This window comes from Homo sapiens, chromosome 2 (assembly GCF_000001405.40).
Source record: "Homo sapiens chromosome 2, GRCh38.p14 Primary Assembly".
Classification (NCBI taxonomy): Eukaryota; Metazoa; Chordata; class Mammalia; order Primates; family Hominidae; genus Homo; species Homo sapiens.
In genome coordinates, this window is record NC_000002.12 from 227,276,615 (window position 1) to 227,290,702 (window position 14,088).

Here is a 14,088-nt window from a genome sequence, read left to right on the forward strand (position 1 = left end):
CCTGATAAGCAAGCAGGCTGGGGACTTGCTATAGTTCTCTGAGGTTATCCAAATTATTCTCACTGGTGCTTCTAATATAAAGGTTCCCGAGGAGAACCTATGTAACTACTTAAGAGGAATTTTAGAGCAGAAAAACCGTTCTGGAGTTTTGGTGGGGGAGCAAGTGATGTTTGCCCACTGGCAATTCATCAGGATATTTTCCATAGCATCTTCATTTGAAAACTGATTGTCTTTGCCAACGTGATCTAAAACTGAGTTTTGCATGCATGGAGGGAGACTTACATAGTTCAAGACATCTAGAATATTTCCTGTTAGGAATTAAATTATATTGACAAAATTCTTTGCAGTTCCTAAAGATTAGTCCATTGGATAGGGACAGGGAGGGGGAGCATATGATTGGGGTTGTGTTAAAAATTTTTTCTTGGCCGGGCACGGTGGCTCACGCCTGTAATCCCAGCACTTTGGGAGGCCGACGCAGGCGGATCACGAGGTCAGGAGTTCGAGACCAGTCTGGCTAACATGGTGAAACCTCGTCTCTACTAAAAATACAAAAAATTAGCCGGGCGTGGTGGCGGGCACCTGTGGTCCCAGCTACTCGGGAGGCTGAGGCGGGAGAATGGCGTGAACCCAGGAGGCGGAGCTTGCAATGAGCTGAGATAGCGCCACTGCACTCCAGCCTGGGCGACAGACCGAAACTCCATCAACAGGAAAAAAAAAAAAAAAAAACAATGTGCAAAAGGGATAGGACGACACAGAGAACTTAGACATTTTCTTTTAAAATAAGATGAAGGAAAGTTGCTGATGTGGAGATGCATATGTGTATTTGTTTCTAAGGTATCCCTGGATCCCTGGGGAAATGTGGAGATCCTGGTCTTCCAGGGCCTGATGGTGAACCAGGAATTCCAGGAATTGGATTTCCTGGGCCTCCTGGACCTAAGGGTAAATTTAAAATTTTTTCAAACATAAAGTTTGTTGTGGATATTTAGAAGATGTTCATATGTATAAATAAAATGAGTAAAATACAATATGAAGATATAAATAGGATATAAGATATAAAATGAGTAAAATAGGAAATATCCATAATACTCTTTAAAATGTTTTCTGGCCAGGCGCAGTGGCTAATGCCTGTAATCCCAGCACTTTGGGAGGCCAAGGCAGGCAGATCACTTGAGGTCAGGAGTTCGATACCAGCCTGGCCAACATGGTGAAACCCCGTCTCTATTAAAAATACAAACATTAGCCGGGTGTGGTGGCATGTGGCTGTAATCCCAGCTACTCAGGAGGCTGAGGCACAAGACTCTGTCTCAAAAAAAAAAATGTTTTCCAAGAGCCACAAATGGAAAAAAATCTTATAATAATGTTAGGTGAATTAATTGAATTTTTTAAAACACAGAGAAAACAACTAGAAGGAAACTCACCAAAATGGTAATAGTGAATCTTGATTGTCAGATTTTAAAGACATTTTTGATACTTCTCAGTAAATGCCTGCACATTTCACATGTATACATTTCTTTTTTTTTTAATAAGAAAGGAACTATTAAATCACAAATGGCTGATTTTCCCATAAACTCCAAAATAAATTATGGAAATTATTTTCCTTTAGGGAAAAAAATGCTGTTTCCCCTCAAAGAGGAAACACTCCAAAAAAATCTAGACGCTGAGAGCTCACACAATGACATAAGCCTGCCCACTGACAAGTACATGAAAGTCCTGTCCAGGATGGCATATGAGTAACCTGAGTCCCTGGATTCTCACATAGAACTGCAAGTTTTATGACAATTTCATGTTTGTTACAATATTCTTTAAAATGTTTGTCAAAAATAGCATCCTTGTTTTGGTGTTTCAGCTCTTGGATTAGTATGTCATCAGTGTTTATTATACATTAATTTTGCCCAAATATGAGAATATTGATTTCAATTTATGAGTATTTGAAATGGAAAACATAATCTCATTTCTCCTGGAGTCTTAAGAATGGCTTTGAGTCCAATTTCTTGGTTTTCTTCCTAATGATCTGTGAAGTAAGGGAGTCTGCCTCACATTTGTACTTCATTCTTCTTGGACCCTGCATTAATAAATTACATCCCTACTTTGTAACTCTAGGTATTGACTCTCTGGAAGAAGACTGTTGACTGTGGGAACCAGAACTAGCCCAAGAGCTCCTTGAAAGTGGAGATTTACAATTTCACAATTGAATCTAATGAATCCCATGAACTAACTGCAAATTAAATATTGGTCAAATTAGGGTATGAAGGAACTCCCTGAATGCAGCCTTGCTTCACCGTGGCTTCCTCTTCTGAACCAGAGATCACAGAAAGTGTGTTGACCCCTTTCTCAAGTCACCTACTATAAATGCATAAGAAGTTAATCCCTTGCATGCAATGGATGCTATAGGGCATTAAGACTTAATTCTCTTAAGCAACCCCTGTTGAGAAAGGCTACCTGGGGTGCTGAAAACGTTCTATATCTTTTTTTTTTTTTTTGAGACAAAGTTTCGCTTTTGTTGCCCAGGCTGGAGTGTAATTGGCACTATCTCAGCTCAACACAACCTCTGCCTCCTGGGTTCAAGCGATTCTCCTGCCTCAGCCTCCCGAGTAGCTGGGATTACAGACATGTGCCACCATGCCTGGCTAGTTTTTTTGTTGTTGTTTTTTTTGTTGTTGTTGTTTTTGTATTTTTAGTAGAGATGGGGTTTCTCCATCTCCATGTTGGTCAGGCTGGTCTCGAACTCCCAGTCTCAAGTGATCCACCCACCTTGGCCTCCCAAAGTGCTGGGATTATAGGTGTGAGCCATCATGCCCAGCCAAAAGCTTTGTATCTTAATCTAGGTCATGCTTACATGAATATATCCATATATAAAAATCCACTTACCTGTACACTGTATGTAAAAAATACTTCAAAAACAAAGTCAAATGGTCAACCAGCATCAGTGGTTTGAAGAATTGCTGAATCAAAATCATGGCCCTACTAAACAACAAAATAGAGAAAGTTATTTTTTCAAATAGGAACCAATGTAATTTGATTTGGAACTTTTAAAAAATTGCTAATTTATCAGTTGGTTTTATTATCATTTAAATTTTCATAAAAGCATCTCTAGCTGGTTGAGAGATAAGAGAGTTACTGCTCAGAATATTTCAATAAGACTAATCCTACAACAATGTTTATTGTTTTTTCTCTGTAGGAGACCAAGGTTTTCCAGGTACAAAAGGATCACTGGGTTGTCCTGGAAAAATGGGAGAGCCTGGGTTACCTGGAAAGCCAGGCCTCCCAGGAGCCAAGGTATGCAAAAATTCAAGCTATCACAGAAGAGAGGGTGGGTGACCATTAACTGGCCAGTTTGTATGCACTTATCTGGCAGAGCACTCTAGATGTAGAAATGATCAATATATTTGTAGATGATGAAGATATTAAATTTTTTAAATGTTTCTCTGGATCATCTTCCATTTTAGAAAGGAAAACATAAGGTGTCAGAATGCAGATTTCATCGTGATATCATCTTTAATGGTTTCATAAATAATCAGAGTATTTAAAATGGGACAACTCTAGAAAGAAATGTGGTTAGCTATAAGAAAAACTATCAAAAGTAAAAACATCTAGATTTTTCTCTTTATAGACAATCCCACAGTCTTCTGAAAAAGTGGAGGCTACATATCCTGAAGTATTATTAAACATAATCTTACAGAAAAGTCAGCAACTAGAGCTCAAAAAGGAAAGTTGATGACATGGTAGTGGCTGTGCAACAGGGACTTAGAGCCTCCATAACAGAGAGTCAATATCAGTGAAGATTTGGAAGCACTATATAGTAATAACACAATTTCTATGCTGTAGGGAGAACCAGCAGTAGCCATGCCTGGAGGACCAGGAACACCAGGTTTTCCAGGAGAAAGAGGCAATTCTGGGGAACATGGAGAAATTGGACTCCCTGGACTTCCAGGTCTCCCTGGAACTCCAGGAAATGAAGGGCTTGATGGACCACGAGGTACAATAGCAAGTGTCATTACTTTTCTCCACTGTGAGCTCTGCTAAAATGCAGCAAACTGAATGTGAAGGTGTTCTAGGCATGAAGAATTCTCCCATCCAATGTTCCTGCCCTACCTTTCTTCCTTCTTTCCTTCTTCCTTCCTTCTTTTTTAATGAGTGCCCTCTAGAAAAGGCATATTAATGGCAGTAAATATAGATCTGATTTAGGTGGAAAAAAAGTTAACAGAAGAATGACTGGTACAGCAATACCAAGACCTTAAGTTCTAGCACCTGGGTATATACTTGTGCTTTCTTTTGCAGGAGATCCAGGGCAGCCTGGACCACCTGGAGAACAAGGACCCCCAGGAAGGTGCATAGAGGGTCCCAGGGGAGCCCAAGGACTTCCAGGCTTAAATGGATTGAAAGGGCAACAAGGTAGGAGGAGGGCCTCAAAACTGGCCACCAGAAGGGCAGGAGACATGAGACTCCTGCTCTGTGCTTTGCTGCTTAACATGGGAACTGTCCAGCCACAAGTCCTGACCACTGTTCAATGAGAAATACTTCAGAAGTGTAAACCTTGCTGTTATGGGTTTGTTGCACACAGTAGTGTGTACCACCTATAAAGGAAGAAACTTGAAGTTAATATAGTGAGTTGCTTTGTGTCTTTTATGCAAGAAAAATATGAATGCTGAAGACAGAGATTGGTGTGTGTTTACATATATTTATATACATATTAAATTCTCAGAAAACATTTTACCTTTAATATTTTCATAAATATATTAAAGTGGTAAGTTTATCCTTATTATTAAAATAGGGTAAATGTATGCAATGATACCAGTTTAAAAACTTATAAACTAAAATATGTAGTTGATTGTTTTACATACAATATAAAAGAAAAAACATGAAAATAAATCTAAATGATGCAGGCTAGATGTTCCAGATGATGGAAAACTTTGTTTTTGGATCCTCTCCTCATCAGATCTGATGAACTGTTCCTGGAAAAATGTATTTAGAAATCAGTTAATGTCTGTGGTCTATCATACTGCTTATATGTTCACAAATAAATTTTTGACCAAGACCTTAACTGTTACAGTGGCATTATTATTTTTTCCAGAGGCATCCAGTGGCTTACCTCTATGCGAACGGCTCTGTATGTCTTCTGCAGGAAACAGAGTGAGCAGCACTCATAAGGTGCAGTCCCAGAATGTGTCTGCAGGACTAGAAAATAGATATAAAGACTACACTTGTATTACTGCATAAATCATTGGAGCAGAGAATGTTAGAGCCAGAAGGGAGCTCAGAAATTTTACAGAGGGGACATTAAATACATACACACACACATGCGCACGCATGCGTAAGTGTGCAGTTACCCCAAATCACAAAGCTAAATATTTACAGCCATAAAATATTTCTAAAGTGGCCGGGTGCAGTGGCTCATGCCTGTAATCCCAGCACTATGGGAGGCCGAGGTGGGCGGATCATTTGAGGTCAGGAGTTTGAGACCAGCCTGGCCAACATGGCAAAACCCCATCTCTATTAAAAATACAAAACTTAGCTATGCATTATGGTGCACGCCTGTAGTCCCAGCTATTTGGGAGGCTGACGCAGGAGAATCACTTGAACCAGGGAGGCGGAGGGTACAGTGAGCCGAAATCGCCCCACTGCAATCCAGCCTAGAAGACAGAGGGAGATTCCATCTTAAAAATATATATATATATATATATATATATTTCTGAAGTTAGTAGGGGAAAGCATTTGTGGGTTAATTAATTCATTCATTTATTCGTACACAGGCAGAAGAGGTAAAACGGGGCCAAAGGGAGACCCAGGAATTCCAGGCTTGGATAGATCAGGATTTCCTGGAGAAACTGGATCACCAGGAATTCCAGGTCATCAAGGTGAAATGGGACCACTGGGTCAAAGAGGATATCCAGGAAATCCGGGAATTTTAGGGCCACCAGGTATCCTTTTGTGTGTTTCTATTTTTCTTCTTATTTCTTCTTCTTCTTAAGGTGGCTCTGTCAACTGTACATAGGCATACGCTTTTTACTCTATGCTTTTACTTAATATAAGGTTTTCCTTCTAAATTATTTGTAAGAAACCAGGGGCCATGGTGCAGGGAAACGGTGGCGGCAGGATGAACAATTACCCAGAATGTGGCTATTTTTGCTGTGTAATCCTTTTTATATACGACTACTATAATATACTTGCTAGTATTTTGTTGAGAATTTTTGCATTTATATTGAGAAGGGATATTGGTCTGTAGCGTTCTTGTGATGTCTTTGGTGTTGGTGTCAGAGTAATGCTGGTCTGATGGAACAAGCTGGGAAGTGTTTCCTCCTCTTGTATTTTCTGGAACAGTTTGTGAAGAATCGACGCTCTTTAAACATTTGGTAGAATTCACCAGTGAAGTTATCTGGGTCTGGGCATTTCTTTTTGGGAAGTCTCTAAATGACTAATTCAATCTCTTCATTTCTTATAGGTATATTCAGGTTTTCTATTTCTTCTGGAGTCAGTTTTGGTATTCTGTTTCTCTAGAAACTTGTCCATTTTTATAAGTTATCTGATTTGTTGTTGTTGTTCATCATATTTCTGTATAATTGTTTTAATTTCATGGCTATGTTTATTGTTTATATGTTTGGGGAGAATATTCTGTTCCCTCATGGCATAAGGACCTCACCGATCTCCCCTCTGGAAAAGAGCCTAAAACAACTTAATCGACACATTATCCTTTCATTCATGTTATTGGGCTACTATCACATGCCAGCATTCTTCTAGGCCCTAGAGACACATCAGTCAGTGGACAAGTCTCCCCTTCTCATAGTAGAGGATCAATAATAGAAATATTTAAAATCTAAGTTCAATTTGAGACAAGTGTTATGAAGAAAATAAAGTGAAGGGATAGAATAGAAAGTGACTGGTCAGGGGCTGGGAGGATGGAATGCTCCAAAACTTCCACATATGCTATCCTCATCCATGAATATGATTTGCTACCAATCACTTCCACATAGGTGAGTTTAAAAGACCACTTACCGACCCATCTCCTAGACTAATACAGTAATTGTACTATGTACAGAGGCCATTTTTTCAACTCCCAATCTCTGCTTCTAAGTATAATTTATTTTAGTATATGGAATATTTTGCTTTTCTCACTCTGTACAACACGTGCTGCTTTGTGTTAATTTGTTTCCATAGGTGAAGATGGAGTGATTGGGATGATGGGCTTTCCTGGAGCCATTGGCCCTCCAGGGCCCCCTGGGAACCCAGGCACACCAGGGCAGAGGGGTAAGTGATAGAGTGTCTTTCTAAATAGCAGGAAGCATAAACAATGTTCATTTATTTTGCAGCAAAAAAAGTTATGTTTCATTGGAGGGAAAAATAGTTCTGAGAGAGCAACAGTATTTGATTTTGCTGTTTTCTATGTTCCTTTTCTCCATTTGAATGGAATCCTGTTTTCTGTAGGCTTACACCACTACCCTTATGAGGCTGCCTGCCTGGGGAAACTATTTATCAAGTTCTCAGCACTGTTAGCCTTTTTTGTTTGATTTGTTCTGTTTTATAGTAAGCACTGCCAACTTTTTAATCCCTATGAACTACCTGAAGAATTAAGGACCTGATGTTGTTACTCCTGTCTGTTAGGGAGCCCTGGAATTCCAGGAGTAAAGGGCCAGAGAGGAACCCCAGGAGCCAAGGGGGAACAAGGAGATAAAGGAAATCCCGGGCCTTCAGAGATATCCCACGTAATAGGGGACAAAGGAGAACCAGGTCTCAAAGGTAAAGAATTGCTTGTTTGGAATCAGGACATCAGAGCTGATTCTCAGGCTAATAAATTATCCAGGCAAATCCGTTTGGTTGACAAATAAGGACAGTGAGGGCCAGTGTTTAGTTACCTGCCCATCACACAGCCGGTTGGTGGCTGAGCAGGCCTTAGAACTGAGTCACCTTCCACGACATGTTGCCTCCTCGATGTGTAACATTTTTATTTCTAAGTTAATTCTGCATTTTAATTTGCTATATTTAAATCATCAGCAGTCAGTTTTTAAATTATAAGCCTCAAAACTCCCTCTTTGCCAAGTATGGGGAAAATTAAACCCTTAAAAAAATTCCACATTAAAAAACTTTTCTGGCTGATGTTGAAACCTCCATCTCAAATTCAACTTTATTCTGTAGACTACCAGAATAATATTTTCTGATTCTATCTAAAAACTTCTTCTCCTGTTCAAAATCCTTTGGAGAATAATTACTAAAAAGAAATGCTTCAATGAAAATTTAACCCTTTAGAAAGACTGTTGTTAGATGTGGCTACTAGGCTAAAATTCAAACCCATTCACATTATTTCAAGTTATTTGGGCCCTTTTTATGGCAGTTTTCATGATATGATCAATACGACCAATATAAAACCAAATTTTCAGAAGCCCTCCCTTGCAGTCTTCTTGACCAAATGTAATCCCAAGCAACTTTAGAAAAACAGAGAACTGCTGGGTAAAATATTACATTTGCAGATCAGACTCTCATAGCAGGAAAGGAATAAAAGAAAAATGTATCATGGCAAGAAAGGAAAAAAGAAAAATGTGTTTGCAGTTGCAAAACCATGTTAAGTTTTGAGATATTTGAAATGACTTTTGAGAAATGAGACTGTGTTCAACAAATATTTATATGCATGGCACATGAGGATGTAACAAACCTTCACATGTACTGCCAAACCTAAAAAAAAAAAAAAAAAAAAAAAAAAATTTGCACAGGGTGCTGTAGACTACAATATAAAGGCTGACTAACTGGCAAGTTAGGAAGTAAAGGCCTTCTATGTACATAGTCCTCATCTAACCTGGTGTTGAAGAGACACTTTAGTTCTGGTACAAAAAGAATATTGCATTTCATTTTTAGCAATGAAAAAGAAAGTAATGCGACTTTTATAAAACTCTGCTAGGACTAGTCTAAGCCAAGATATGAAAAAAAAAAATACTGGCACCAATCTCCAGTCCTCATAAACTGTCTGCATAGACACCACTTCACTAGACTATTTTAGATTATTTAAGTAGTGTTAGAAACATTTTGGAAAAAATATGAATAGCATATCTCTGCCTACATAAGCAGAAATTTGGCGCTCACAGTATAAATGCGCAGTGAGTACTAATTTGCAATTGAAGAATTCCTTTTGTAAAGTACAGAAGGACACATGATATGGGGCTATTTCTATACTTCCAACAAAACTCTTTTACTCACCCTAAGTACAGTATGCATCGAGGCTGTTCTGTATGTTTTCTTTAGGCTTTTCAAATGCATAACCAAGGGACACAGATTGAAGAACAACAAAAAAATAACCTGTATCTAGGCCTCCCTAATTTCAATATGATCCATTTATTTTTCTAAATCTGAATTTCTGACTTAAAGCTATTCACTTCAAATGTGGAAGAGATATTGAATATACAGAGAAGCACAATAACAAGTCACTATCCTCTCCACAAGGAGGCTGCGTGGCAGACTTAGGCATATGTAGAAAAAGATAATAAAGACGCGAGGTGCAAATTAGCATGCTATATTATTTAACAACGACCTAAGTAGCATTTACCATGTGCAGGTACTGTTCCAAGTTTTACAACTATTGACTCATTTAATCCTCACAATAACCCTAGGAGTAGGCTGGGCACAGTGGCTCACGGCTGTAATCCCAGTATTTTGGGAGGCCAAGGCGGGTGGATCACCTGAGGTCAGGAGTTCGAGACCAGCCTGGCCAACATGGCAAAACCCCATCTCTACTAAATATACAAAAATTAGCCAGGGTGGGCGGGGTGGGGAGCCTGTAATTCCAGCTAGTCAGGAGGCTGAGGCATGAGAATCGCTTGAACCTGAGAGGCAGAGGTTGCAATGAGCTGAGATTGTGCCACTGCACTCCAACCTGGGCAACAGAGTGAGGCTCTGTCTCAAAAAATAAATAAATACATAACCCTAGGAGTAGGTACTACTATTGCAATCATCCCATTTTACATACGGGGAAATAGGGAGGTCAAGTTACTTGCCCAATGACACTCTGATAGGAAATGGCAGAGATGGGCCTCACTCTTGGCCTCCTCACTGTGCTGCCAGAGCTCTGTAGGAGTTGAGGGAAGTAGAAAATACAGCAACTAAGATAGTCAGTGAAACCTCCATAAAAGAGGACTTAAATGTTGAATAAGATTCAGATGAACAAATAAAATTCTTGGCTTAAAATCTTTCCAAGGCTCCCTGTGCTTTGAGAAGTGAAACTTCTTGGACTGACATACAAGTTTATTCACCACTTGCACTTGGCCTGTCTCTCCAGCCACATGACATTTATGTACTCAATAATTACCTTTTACTTAATAATACCTATGGACTAGGCATTTTGCTATGCCTTGATTATACAGAGGTGAACAAAGCAGACTTTAGTTTCCTAGTCATGATGAAAGTTACGGTTTAGTGGGGGAAAGACACATAATGGGTCCATAAACATTTTCCATTTAGGCTAGGTAGTAAGTATCTTACGCTTTGTGGCTCACATATGGTCCCTGTTGCATATTCTTCTTTGCTTTTGTTTTTAACAACCTTTTAAAAATGTAAAAACCGCCAGGCGTGGTGGCTCACGCCTGTAATCCCAGCCCTTTGGGAGGCCGAGGCGGGTGGATCATGAGGTCAAGAGATCGAGACCATCCTGGCCAACATAGTGAAACCCCAACTCTACTAAAAATACAAAAATTAGCGGGCGTGGTGGCACACGCCTGTAATCCCAGCTACTTGGGAGGCTGAGGTAGGAGAATCACTTGAACCCGGAAGGCGGAGGTTGCAGTGAGCTGAGATTGTGCCACTGCACTCCAGCATGGCGAGAAAGCAAGACTCCGTCTCAAAAAAAAAAAAAATGTAAAACCCGTCTTTAACCCTAAAGCCATACAAAACCAAGCCAGATTCAGCCTGAAAGCTGTATTTTGCCAACTCCTAAAACACTGAAGTAAACAAACAGACTAAACAGTATATATCTTTTTAGATTGCAATCAATGACATAAAAGGAAAAAATGAAAGTTGTAAAACAAAACAATCTAACTCCCTGATACTCATCACTCCTTTCTACATGCTATTTTACTCTCTGGGAATCCTGTCTCATTCCAGACCTTCTTCACCCAATTAGTTTTCATTTGGTCTTCAAGACTGAGCTAAAAAATACCACCTCTTTCAGAAATTCTTCCCTGTAGTATATTGTGCCCAACTCTAGTATAGAGTTTATCTTCCTGGATGATAATTATTTGTTTACTTGCCTGTCTCCCCAGTTAAACACTAAAAACCTGGGGAAAGAGAACATGATGATTTATCTCTCTGGTGCTCAGCACAAGACCTATTTATTAATTAGATGCTCCATCCATATGTGAATGAATAAGTACATATGCAGGAAAAGAGCCAAGGGAAGTGAATCTGCTTGAGAAAAAGCACAAAGGCAGGCTATAGACAGATTGCAGAATGCTTCATGCTGCCGAAAGAGTTTGCAATTTACTCTGTAAGTAATAGAGATTCAGTGACTATTTATTTATTTATTTTGAGACGGAGTCTCGCTCTGTCACCCCGGCTGGACTGTAAATGGTGTGATCTCGGCTCACTGCAACCTCCGCCTCCTAGGTTCAAGTGATTCTCTTGCCTCAGCCTCCCAAGTAGCTGGGATTACAGGTGTGTGCCACCAAGCCAGCTACTTTTTATATTTTTTAGTAGAGACAGGGTTTCACCATGTTGGCCAGGCTGGTCTCGAACTCCTGACCTCAAATGTTCTGCCCACCTCAGCCTCCCAAAGTGCTGGGATTACAGGCGTGAGCCACTGCACCTGGCCCAATGACTATTTATGAACAGGAGAAGAGTATGATCAAAGTCATGTTTTAGGGAAAGTGGAATGGTTTCCTGGGACGTTTATGAGCTTTCCAGCTGGGCAGAACTGGATTCAAATCCAAGTGTTATTAACTGATTGACACTGTGATTCTGGCCTTTGACTTACCTAATACTTTATAAATTATAATTTTAATACATGGATTGAGAATAGAATCATCTAGATGAGAATACTGTAGTGGATAACACTTTGTCTTTACTATTAAAAAATGAAGAGGTATTTAGGCTGCTAATTCTTAAAATGTTGTTTTAAAGAGTACATATTAAGATCATTGCTAGTGTTCATTGAGGAATAACTTATGCCAGGCACTGTGCTAATGCTTGACACATATTATTTCATTTAATCCTCTTCTTTAAGAGACAGAAGCCCAAATCCGCCCATGCTCTTAACATATATGCTATATGCTGTACTACAGTAATATGCCATCGGTTTAAACCAGGATGTGGATGGGTCTGACAAAATTTTAACATGAATTTTTGATGCCTGGTTTTTTGTTTTGGGTTTTTTTTTTTTTTTTTGAGATGGAGTCTCGTTCTGTCGCCCACGCTGGAGTGCAGTGGCACGATCTCAGCTCACTTCAACCTCTGTCTCCCAGGTTCAAGTGATTTTCCTGCCTCAGCCTCCCACGTAGCTGGGATTACAGGCACCTGCCACCACACCTGGCTAATTTTCTTGTTAATACCTGGTTTCTAACTTCAGGATTCGCAGGAAATCCAGGTGAGAAAGGAAACAGAGGCGTTCCAGGGATGCCAGGTTTAAAGGGCCTCAAAGGACTACCCGGACCAGCAGGACCACCAGGTACAGCTGATTCTCAAATAGAAAAATATCACATTTTACACTTTCCTACATCTAAAGTAATAAAAGTTGTTTCTAGGCTTACTGGGTTTAAATATCAATTCTGTTCTGATAGTGTTCCAGCAGAAATTTGCTACTAAATTAACTAAAAGAAGGTGTTGATAGTTGGCGTGTCATTAACTAACATACATTAACCTACAAATAGTTCCATTTTGTCCTCAAAATTTCATTCTGAAATTGCTGATATGTATTATAAATTATAATGTATCACTATATCACATATCAGAGATGAAAATTAGAGAATGCTTTAGAAGTTTTCAGGTTTGCATCTTTCTTTTTTAAAACAAGTAACTGAGTTTACAAAATAATTTTTAAATAATTAAAGTATCCCACCATTCCTACAACCATCTCAGTAACAAAATATATGACATGGCAATAACACTTCAGGATGCAGTTGGAAATGTATTACCATATGTTTGCAGGAGCCCACTTTTTTCCCGCTGGTGTTGGTCCTAGGATGATTTTAGTGTTTGAAACCCAGGTCTGCTAACGAGAATCTAACTTTCTTTAGTTTTCCATGTTCCAGGTCCCTAGTTCCCTCTTATTTGAAGGAAAAAGGACAGCTAGACAAGTGCCCAAACCAGCCGGTCTGGCTGTTCTGCATTCATTCATGCATGCAAGCAACAAGTATTTATTAAACACATACTATGTCCAGGAACTGTGCAGGGCAATAACTACTTATTTGTTCTCAAGGCCCCAGAGGAGATTTGGGCAGCACTGGGAATCCTGGAGAACCAGGACTGCGTGGTATACCAGGAAGCATGGGGAACATGGGCATGCCAGGTAATGCATAAGGTCCTGTTATGAGCCCACAAGCTCATGATGGGTGAGGACTCCAGATTTTCTGTGTTGTGTACTGTTTTGGTTTTCCACTTGGTAGAAAGCTTATATTAAAAAACTAGATTTGCGGGGCCGGGCACGGTGGCTCATGCCTGTAATCCCAGCACTTTGGGAGGCTGAGGCAAGCAGATCACCTGAGGTCAGGAGTTTGAGAGCAGCCTGGCCAACATGGCGAAACCCCATCTCTACTAAAGATACAAAAAAAATAGCTGGGTGTGGTGGCACATGCCTGTAGTCCCAGCTACTCGGGAGGCTGAGGCAGGAGAATCGCTTGAACCCGAGAGGTGGAGGTTGCAGTGAGCTGAGGTCACGCTGCTGCACTCCAGCATGGGCGACAGAGTGAGACTCCATCTCAAAAAAAACCAACAACAACAAAAAAAACAGATTTCCTATTAGACAAATACACAGTGTGCAACCAGAAAATGGGTGAGAACAAAATAAATATTGATATTATATAATAATCATCTATTGTAACTACCTGATGCAGTTGCAATTCTGAAAAAGCCATTCTTGGGAGAAAGCTTATGTAAAACTGAAAAGTAGAAAACTTCAAGATC

General features: G+C 39.8%; 1 protein-coding gene and 1 long non-coding RNA gene across 9 annotated transcripts in view; one reads left to right on the forward strand and one right to left on the reverse strand.

The window, feature by feature from the left end:
* Positions 1-14,088, forward strand: part of COL4A3 (collagen type IV alpha 3 chain) — a 150,169-nt gene that overhangs the window by 111,991 nt on the left and 24,090 nt on the right. For 7 of the 8 annotated variants that reach the window (XR_001738601.2, NM_000091.5, XM_011510555.2 and 4 more), the window contains exons 28-36: positions 835-939; positions 3,179-3,276; positions 3,826-3,976; positions 4,279-4,392; positions 5,751-5,918; positions 7,153-7,242; positions 7,597-7,731; positions 12,536-12,634; positions 13,385-13,474. Coding sequence is in view for 7 of the 8 variants with exons in the window: in NM_000091.5 (NP_000082.2) it covers positions 835-939; positions 3,179-3,276; positions 3,826-3,976; positions 4,279-4,392; positions 5,751-5,918; positions 7,153-7,242; positions 7,597-7,731; positions 12,536-12,634; positions 13,385-13,474 (1,050 nt within the window). In the remaining variant the exon portion in view is untranslated. The remainder of the gene's footprint in view (positions 1-834; positions 940-3,178; positions 3,277-3,825; positions 3,977-4,278; positions 4,393-5,750; positions 5,919-7,152; positions 7,243-7,596; positions 7,732-12,535; positions 12,635-13,384; positions 13,475-14,088) is intronic. The other variant, XM_005246277.4, reaches the window with a different exon arrangement.
* The window catches only part of MFF-DT (MFF divergent transcript), a 104,113-nt gene that overhangs the window by 55,563 nt on the left and 34,462 nt on the right, over positions 1-14,088 (reverse strand). The window contains exons 3-4 of the long non-coding RNA NR_102371.1: positions 5,090-5,175; positions 2,869-2,961 (exon numbers count right to left, since the gene is read on the reverse strand). This is a non-coding gene — a long non-coding RNA (MFF divergent transcript). The remainder of the gene's footprint in view (positions 1-2,868; positions 2,962-5,089; positions 5,176-14,088) is intronic.